At 42.3% G+C, this 9,322-nt stretch overlaps 1 protein-coding gene across 10 annotated transcripts in view, besides 6 other annotated features; it reads right to left on the reverse strand.

The window, feature by feature from the left end:
• The window catches only part of CCNI (cyclin I), a 28,835-nt gene extending 23,983 nt beyond the window's left edge, over positions 1-4,852 (reverse strand). For 9 of the 10 annotated variants that reach the window (NM_001348134.2, NM_001348132.2, NM_001348139.2 and 6 more), the window contains exon 1: positions 4,335-4,852. In NM_001348134.2, coding sequence (NP_001335063.1) covers positions 4,335-4,406 — 72 coding nt within the window. In that variant the 5' untranslated portion in view covers positions 4,407-4,852. Of the gene's footprint in view, positions 1-3,652; positions 3,774-4,334 lie in introns of those variants that run through there. The other variant, NM_001348133.2, reaches the window with a different exon arrangement.
• Positions 1,349-1,418: an enhancer, noted in NCBI's record as "active region_21635". NCBI's record gives its function as "activates an Ori minimal core promoter by ATAC-STARR-seq in GM12878 lymphoblastoid cells {active_cell/tissue: GM12878}" and the evidence as "EXISTENCE:reporter gene assay evidence [ECO:0000049][PMID:35858748]".
• Positions 4,180-4,329: a silencer, noted in NCBI's record as "silent region_15499". NCBI's record gives its function as "represses an Ori minimal core promoter by ATAC-STARR-seq in GM12878 lymphoblastoid cells {active_cell/tissue: GM12878}" and the evidence as "EXISTENCE:reporter gene assay evidence [ECO:0000049][PMID:35858748]".
• Positions 4,390-4,739: a silencer, noted in NCBI's record as "silent region_15500". NCBI's record gives its function as "represses an Ori minimal core promoter by ATAC-STARR-seq in GM12878 lymphoblastoid cells {active_cell/tissue: GM12878}" and the evidence as "EXISTENCE:reporter gene assay evidence [ECO:0000049][PMID:35858748]".
• Positions 4,920-5,149: an enhancer, noted in NCBI's record as "active region_21636". NCBI's record gives its function as "activates an Ori minimal core promoter by ATAC-STARR-seq in GM12878 lymphoblastoid cells {active_cell/tissue: GM12878}" and the evidence as "EXISTENCE:reporter gene assay evidence [ECO:0000049][PMID:35858748]".
• Positions 4,920-6,018: a biological region, named in NCBI's record as "H3K27ac hESC enhancer GRCh37_chr4:77997338-77998308".
• Positions 5,048-6,018: an enhancer, noted in NCBI's record as "H3K27ac hESC enhancer chr4:77997338-77998308 (GRCh37/hg19 assembly coordinates)". NCBI's record gives its function as "activates a minimal SCP1, AML or CMV promoter by ChIP-STARR-seq in naive H9 embryonic stem cells {active_cell/tissue: H9 hESC(naive)}" and the evidence as "EXISTENCE:reporter gene assay evidence [ECO:0000049][PMID:30033119]".

Below are 9,322 nucleotides of genomic sequence, written 5' to 3' on the forward strand. Positions count from 1 at the left end.
TAGAATCATGTAAAAAGAAGTAAATCAGGTTCAATGGATTCCCGTTCTCCAATTGCCTATAATTAAAGCCCTCAGTATGACTTTCAAATATTTATATTGTAATAACTTTTTTTAAAACAAAGGTATCTGGTCAAAGAAGAGTCACAGGGGAAATTAGATAATACTTTGAGATGAGTGAAAATGAAGATATACCAAAACTTACCAGATACAATTAAAGCAGTGCTTAGAAATAAATTAATACCTGAAAATGCCTCTACTAAAAAAGGATATCTCAAATCAAGAGCCTAATCTTCCACCTTAAGGTAATGGAAAAAGAAGAGTAAACTGTTCCTAAAGCAAGACAGAAGCAAGGAAATACTAAATATTAGAATGGAAATTAATGAAGTAGAGAATACAAAAACAGCAGTGAAAAGTCAATGAAACCAGAAGCTGATTGTTTGAAAAGATCAAAATGGACAAACCTTTAGCCAGCTAGACTGACCACGAAAATACAGAGGACAAATTACTAAAATCAAGACTAAAAAGAAGACACTACCTACCTTACAGAAATAAAAAGAATTATAAAGGAATTTATGAACAACTGTGTGCAACTAAATTGGCAATTTTAGATGAAATGGTCCAGTTCCCAGAAATACAAAATACCAAAACTTAGGAAGTAAAAAGCTGCACTGGTGAGATGATTCCAAAAAAACAAAAACAGAAAAAAAGAAAGAAAGAAAAAAGCTGAGTATTTGTAAAACCAAAGATTTAAACAGTTAATTTTTTTAAAGCACTGCCAAAGAAAAATCCATGCCCAGATGGCTTCACTGGTTAATTCTACCAACCATTTTCAGAAAAACTAATAGCAATCTTTACAAATTCTTCCCAACTTATTCGTTGAAGCCAGTTATTACCCTGCTACCAAAACCAGACAGACATCACTAGAAAACTACAGATTAGTATTTCTTCTGAATATAAATGCAAAATTTCTCAACAAAATACTAGCAAACTGAATCCAGCAATATTAAAAAAAGGATTATATACCATAACCAAGTGGGATTTGTTCCAGGAATGCAAGCTTGTTTTAAGATTCAGAAATCAACGCAATACATTATCAATAGTAAAAAAAAGAATCACTCTTTGCTCACTCTAGAGAAAGCTAACAAAGAAAAAGTAAAACGAGGTAAAATTTCCTTAAACTTTTAAAAACAGGACAGAAGGCAGGGCATGGTGGCACCTGCTTGTGATCCCAGAACTTTGTGAGGCAGGAGAGGAGCACTTGAGGCCAGGAGTTTGAGACCAGCCTGGACAACAGAGCGAGATCCCTGTCTCCACCAAAAAAAAAAAAAAAAAAAAAAAAATTTAAACTAGCCAGGCATGATGTCACACACCTGCCTGTAGTCTCAGCTACTCAGGAGACTCAGGTGGGAGGATTACGTAAGCCCAGGAGCTTGAGGCTGCAGTCAGCTATGATTACAGCACCTCACTCCAGCCTGGGTAACAAAGTGAGACCCAATCTCTTAAAAAAAAAAAAAAAAAAAAAAAGAAAAGAAACGAAACTGCAATACCTGACCCTCAACTAGATCCTGTACTGGAAGGAGACAAATGGTGTAAAGGTCATTATTGGGTCAAATGAGATAATTGGGACGGTAGATTACACAAGTCAATGTATCAAATGCTAAATTTACCAAAATTGAAAATTTTGCTGTGATTCTGTAAGAGAATATTACTATTCTTGTGAAATATTTAGCAGTATAGGGTCATAATGTATGTTCCACATAAAAGAACAAAAGACAAGACTAGTAAGACATACTATGATACAGAAAGCATGGGCTTGGCTTTTCTTTTACTGACAGTGCACAAGCCTATTTTCTACGGGTAAAGCACATTTTGAGTTGAATTAATAAATTCCGCTAAGAAAATGCAAACATTTAAAATACAATTTTAGTTTTAACAGAACTATATAGTTATGTTTTGTTACTGTATGCCTATTGTTGGTTACATCCAACTTTGCATGCTTTTTTAGAAAAGCAAGAAATAACAAAAGACTATTTTAGTTGGCATATTCCACACACATCAAACTTTATGCCAGTTTCACATTTCTCCTCCCATCCTCTCAATTGCTGCCGCTTCTCCTTTCTCCACGGTTATCAAATAGCTTAATGTCTGAGGTAATAGTTTATAAAAGGCTTACTGTACAGCATAACTATTACAGATATACATACAGGGCCCCCTGCTCCTCTGAGGAAAAGTGCTGCACAGTGCTGGGTATACAATATAAACAACTTCACTAATATGTATTATTGTATTTGCTATCATCATCACACCAATTCCATTAATAATCCTGTACTAGTGCTGACTTCTGAATCTTAGTTCCTCTTCTGAAAGGAGGGATTAACGTGGCCATACAAGAAACTGAAGTTCTACTATTCCCTCCTTGACTTTATGCACTAGAAACAATGAATTAAAGGTATTTGCAATTCCAAGTGTATGCTCTTTCCCAATCTCCCTGGCTGTACAAGCACTGCTGTTTCAACTTGAAATGTCCTCTAGCTCATACTTCCCTTCCTAAAGTAGCCATCAGTCTGTAAGACTCTCTGGATTTGTGCAGTTGTGCCCTGCCTTCCAACATCTGTACTTGGACATAATTCTACCTTTACATTTAGTTGCTTTGAGACTATTGGTAAACTTGCCTTTCCTAATAATGAATTCTTTGATGTTAATCTCCAGAGTTGAGCATATGCCTAATAGCTTCACTTGTAAACAGCTTAACAAGTAAAAGCACTGAGTGCTTACTATTTGACTACCTATTGTTCAAAGCGCTATGCCATATTAACTCATGTAATGTTCCCACAATTTGATGAAACTGTGGAAAGCCCTTTTTTTCTAGTTTTTTATTTTTCTTACTACACCCCCATTTCAGCCATAAAGCCCATTTTAAAGACGAAGAAACATACATAGGAAGATGAATATTCATTTTTAATGTATTACACAATCAAAACAAAACACGGACACACTCAGCTTCCAATCTTGACCAACACACATGCTAAGCTCCATTCTAACCTACTAGGATGTCACATTACCACATAAACTACCTGTAACTGCAGATCATTTTTACTGAACTTCCCTAACACATGCTGACTGTATTAGTCTGCCCTTCATCGGTATCAAGAAATTTCTAGTAGAGGGGCTCAGAATCTCTCGGAGATTCTCTGGTCCCAGATTAGCCAATCTACATCTATTCCGTCCATTATTTCTTAATCTATTTGTCCAATCCTTTCTATTTCATCTGCCACAAATGACCTGGAAAAGCTAGCAGCAGATAACACTGCTATTTCAACAAACTCATTTTCAGGACAGAGACCACACAGCGTAGAATCAGACTTAATTCTGGCTACTGGGTTTTAGCCGCGTTACCTAAGGAGAAAGTTAATCTTGTGGAGTCTCAGTTTTCCTCATCTGTAAAATGAGGCTCCTACTACCAGCCTTGGGGGGATTAAGTGAATTGCAAGCCACTTAGGAGAATGCCTGGCAGATAATAAGCCTCATCAAATGTTGTTATTTAACGTCATTACTGTAATGCTCTGCTGCTCTAAGTCGAGTGGCTCCCCACTGACAGAATAAAACATAAACATTTTAGTTCAAACCCCTTCAGAGTCTGAATCCATCCTACCTCCCGAAACACCTTCCACTGTTTTGATACCCAATTGTCAACTTCTGCCAAAAGGATCTGTAACGGAGCCCCCTAGCTCCAGCGGAGGCTCCTCTGTCCTCCTTTCAAATTCCAGTTATTTAATCTAGCCTTTAGAGCACAACTCAAATCTCACCTCCCCCGGATTCCCCCCACCCACCCGCCCCAAGCCCTGGGTAACGTTGCCCTCCCCCGAATTTCACAGCACCGGAGGTTCACCCCATTCATTTGGCATTCAGTCTGCCGTGCAAAGTTAGTAATCCTCCTGGTGTCCCCGGAGAATCGTTCAACCTGAGGGTGGGGGTGTGTCCCCTTCTTTGTGTATTAACACGGGCTCGTAGAGCCTCCAACACGCACTATAGAGTAGCTAATTTGCCGCTGCCACAAAAAAAAGTTACTCGCTGACAGAAAAACTGGCCCGAAAAGGAACACAGTAGTGCCGTTTTCAAGTGGGCAGGTGACGGGTCTGTCTGGGCCGGAGAGGACGAAGAGGGCGGCCCCGAGGTTCCCCGGGCTGGGGGATGCGGGAGGGTGGGTCTCCGGCGAGCAGCGCGCGGCCAAGGGCGCTGCCACGGGGGCGGCGCGGGGGGAGCAGCGGGGCCCCAGCGCGTCGACGCCGGCCGCGGAGACGCGTCGAGCCCCCGCCCCCGCCCCCGCCCCTCACCTTCTCCTCCTCTTCCTCCTCCTCCTCCTCCCCGGCAGAGCTGTAGGCCTCACAGTGGTGACGCGGGGTCATCCGGGGGCCCGTTACCACCTCATTCTCATAGGCGCGCGGAGGCGGTGCGCGCGGGACGACTCGGCCAACTGAGGAGGGAGAAAGGGGAAGCGGATCGGGGGGCGCGGGCGCGGGCGCTGGCGCTCGAGCGGGACGCACGGCTGCGGCCGCTGGGTCGGTCAGCGAATTAGTTCCATGATGACCCCCGGCCTGAGGCCGCCGCCGCTCGAGCCCGGGTTGGGAGGGGGCTCCCTCTCGCCATAGGGCGGCGGGGGCCGGGGAGAGGCGGGGGGTGAGACCGGCTCTGCCCCTGCCCGGGGAAAGCGCCTCCGAGGGGAAATGGTGAAAGGGGGGGAGGGGAGAAAAGAAAAGAAAAAAAAAAAAAGAAAGGGGAAAGGGGGGAAAAATAAGAAAAAGCGAGACAGAGGCGCTGCCGCGTCCGCTCGCGGGGAAGGCTGGGGAGGGAGGGGAAGAGAGGGGAAGGGAGGAAGAAGTGCCGGCTTCCTCGGCTCCGCCCTCGCGGACCGATTCCTAGACTCGCCCACTCCTTGTAAACTACGCGGACTTGGTCTTTCACCCTTCCTGTTCCTCCCCGCCGCCTTCCCGGTCCAACGAAAGTACAGAGAAGTGCGGCCGAAAGGAGACGGGCTGGGGAAGTCGTTGGCACTAGGATGGAAGGAGGGAGGACGTTTTCTCGTGGCTAAGAAAAGCCGAAGGTCCGTGGACTCATTTTCCTTGAAGGAGCGGAAGGGTTGCTTGCAGACCGCACGGTGACGTCAGCGTCTCTGGGCCCCCACTGAGGGGGCGTGCGGTGGCCGGAGAGTGCGCTGCGCATGCGCCTGGGGAAGAAAGAAGCGGCCGAGCGCTGCGCTTGGGGGAGGGGATTTCACGATCCGCTCCTGTGGTCCAGCTTTACAGCAGCTTGGTTTTATCTAGCCCTACTCGTCCCCAGGCTCTTAGAAGGATTCACTGGGAAGGGGCTACTGATCTCTTGGGTGGAGATCTTGCAGATTTGTTGACCTAGCAAAGTATTACGTGTTCTTACCGTTGACATGTAAATAGAATTGCGGTTTTTCTCACTGCCACATTGTGTGGGTGGAGGGAGATTCTAAAGGGTTTTAGGAATCGGAAAATTAGGGAGAATCAAATCATGGGTGCTTAAGGCCTCAGTGAAACACTGTAAATTATACTGCTGACGGCGAGGAACCTGCTTGGCAATGTGGCAAGGGGATTTTATCCACTCAACCAACACGTCTGAGTATTTCCGAATAGGTTTTATTACCAGGTGCTTAAAGAATGTGTGGTGACATAAATGGGTTTTATTTGGGGTTCTGTTAGTACAAACGGTAACTTTTTGCTATTTTGATTGTTTTAATTATTTAAAAATATGTAGTATTACAGAGTTTTGAAAGAGGAAGAGCTAGATCTCAACCATTTATAGAAGTCTCGTTTGTTTTTTCCATTTGTTTTTTATATAGTTATTTTAACTGTCAGTGAAAAAATATGTGTTGAGTTTATTTAGTGGCCAGACTCAGCAAACTGGAAGTAGCCAAGACAGACATAGCTCCTGCCTTCATGGAGTTTACAGTCCAAACAGAGGATAACCATTGAGCTAATTATCACTATGTAAAATTACCAAGTACATTTACTTGTTTACTTGTGCATGTATCCCCTCCCTAGAATATAAGGTCGCAGGCGGCAGGGATCTTGCATGTTTCACCCTCTATCCCTGTGTATAAAAGGCTCTCAATATTTGACCAAGTAAACAATTCTGGTATTAAAACCGTTAAGATGGAAAATCGCCGGCTGCTGTGGAAACGCTTGCCTTTCCGCCTGGTTTGGGATATCAGAGAAGGTTTTTCTGAAGAAGTGACATTTAAGATGAGACTTGAAACCACTGGGCAAAGAATGATACAAGCAGAGGAAGTTATGTGAAAAGGCTCCGAAGCTGAGACGTTCTAAAAATCTCTGAAAGCTAGTGTGGCTGGCCCTCAGACAACTGAGGCAGGATGTGGAAGCAGAGGACAGATGCCATAGAACAGAAGAAGGAATGGGAAGCCCTAGGAGGATTTCAAGTGGGTTGTATCCTTTTTTTTTCTTTTTTTCACTTCATGTAGCCTATTATTATATGGTCTTCATTCAAAAAAGCCACCATTTTTCTGCATGTTACTCTTGAGACTGTAGCATTTCTGCATAATACTATTGAGAGTGTAACATAATTCCATTGTTAGACCATGAAATTGCTTCTGATTTTCACTCCAATAAGAATAATGCAAATTCCACTCCTAAATATATACCCAAGAGAAAGGAAAATATTTGTCCATGCAAAAACTTTTTTACAAACGTTAGCATTATTCATAATAGCCAAAGATGAAACAACCTAAATGTTCATCAGCTGGCGCCTGTATAAATCAAATGTGATACATCTATGTACAATCAAATTTTTATTTTTAAGAGATGGGGTCTGGCTCCGTGGCGCAGATGGGGGTGCCATGAGACTTCCTATGTTGTCCAGGCTGGTCTCAAACTCCTGGCCTCTAGCAATTCTCCCTCCTTAGCCTGAAAGTGATGGGATTACAGGCATGAGCCGTCACACCGACCTATACAATGGAATCTTATTGGGCCATAAAAAGAAAATACTAATACATGCTATAACATGCATAACCTTTGAAAGCAGTATGCTAAATGAAAGAAGCCAGTCACAAAAGACCACATATTATATGATTCCACTTACGTGAATGTCCAGAATAGGCAAATATATAGAGACAGAAAGTAAGGAAGTGGTTGCTTAGGGCTAGGGGCAGGCATGGGATTAGGGGATGATAGTTAAATGATATGGGGGTTTCTTTCTTTTTTTCTTTTCTTTTTTTCTTTTTTTTTTTTTTGGAAACAGGGCCTTGCTCTGTCCCCCAGGCTGCAGGCTGGAGTGCAATGGTGTGAACATGACTCACTGTAGCCTTGACCTCCAGGATCAAGCAATCCTCCTGCCTCAGCCTCCTGTGTAGCTGGAACCACAGGCGCATGCCTCCATGCCCAACTGATTTTTTGAAGGTTTCTTTTTGAGGTGAGAAAAATGTTCTGAGATTGATTGTGTTGATGGTTGCGCAACTGTGAATATTTAGGTTGAGTATTATCCAAAATATTTGAGACCAGAAGTATTTTGAATTTTAAACTTTTTTTTCAGTTTTGGAAATGTTTGCATTAAATTATATACTTACTGGTTGAGCAACCTAGTCTGAAAATCCAAAATGAGCATTTCCTCTGAGTGTCATGTTGGCACTCAAAAAGCTTTGGATTTTGGAGCATTTCAGATTTTTGTATCAGGGATATGCAACCTGTACTAAAAACCATTGAATTGTACACTTTAAATGTATTACTTCTATGGTGTTTGAATTATAATAAAGCTGCTACCCAAAAAATGAAAAACAAAAATAATTCAATTAACATCTTCATAACCTCTTTGGGGCTATTCCTAGGTCCAACAATATTATGTTTTTATGGCTTTTACTGAATACCAGTTGCCAGTTGCAAGGCAGAAGATTAAACCAATTAAAATGTTACCAGGAGTCTTTAAGAGCTCCCATTTAATTATATACTTATCCTTATTAAAACTATCTTACTGCCTATGAGATTGCCAGTGACAATTTAATCTACTATAAATATAATTACAAGTAATTAATAGGTGGGTAAGTAACTAGTTGCAGTTGTCTGAACAAAAAGTATGGATATTTTCTTTCTTTTTTTTTTTTCCTTTGAGACAAGGTCTCACCCTGTCACCCAGGTTGCAGTGGTGCGATCTCAGCTCACTGCAGCCTCAACTTCCTAGGCTCAAGCGATCCTTCCACCTCAGACTTCTAACTAGCTGGGAATACAGGTGTGCACCACCATGCCCAGCTAACTTTTGTATTTTTTGTACAGACGGGGTTTTGTCATGTTGCCCAGGCTGATCTCGAATGCCAGAGCTCAAGCAATCCAGCTACGTCAGCCTCCCAAAGTGCTGGGATGACATGCATGAGCCACTGTGCACAGCCAATATGGACATTCTTGTTCTTCAGTATCCATTTGTAAGACCATACTTTAATTCACTTTTTTTTTTTTTTGAAACAGAGTCTCTCTCTTGTCACCCAGGCTGGAGTGCAATGGTGCAATCTCAGTTCACTGCAACCTCCATATCCCGGGTTTAAGCAATTCTTCTGCCTCAGCCTCCCGAGTAGCTGAGATTACAGGTGTGCCACCGTGCCTGGGTAATTTTTGTATTTTTAGTAGAGACAGTTTCACCATGTTGGCTAGGCTGGTCTCGAACTCCTAACCTCAGGTAGTCCACCTGCCTCGGCCTTCCAAAGTGCTGGGATTACAGGCTTGAGCCACTGCGCCAGGCCATATTTTTTTTAATAACTAATAATTGTTTTTACAATTAATTGTAGTTGTAAAAAATCGAAAGTTTATGAAATTCCCTGAGAAAATAAATAAGATATATAAAGAGAACATATTATCCGCGTATTGGTAAATAACTTCTATTTAGTAATTCTAAATAGTAAAGTTAGACTACCATTCTACACGGCATTTCTAGGTGTGGTAGTTCATGCCTGTAATTGCTTTGGGAGGCCAAGCTGGGAGGATCATTAAGCCCAGGAGTTTGCACCAGCCTGGGCAACACAGAAAGACCCTGTATCTGAAAAAAAAAGGAGAGAGAGAATAATAATAACTAACACATGTTGATCACTCACTATGTAGCAAACATTATACTAAGCATTTTTATTGCATTCTTTTGTGTTTATCCCCACAGCACTCCTCTATAGTAGGTATTTTTGTTGTTCCTATTTTACAAAAGATAAAGAGGTAAAGTAAATCCCAATATTCATCACATAGCTTAGAGGGGCACAGCCAGGATTCAAACCCAGGTTGACTATCTCCAAAGCATGGTATGTTTTTAATCA

The sequence above is a fragment of the Homo sapiens genome, chromosome 4 (genome assembly GCF_000001405.40).
Source record: "Homo sapiens chromosome 4, GRCh38.p14 Primary Assembly".
NCBI lineage: Eukaryota > Metazoa > Chordata > Mammalia > Primates > Hominidae > Homo > Homo sapiens.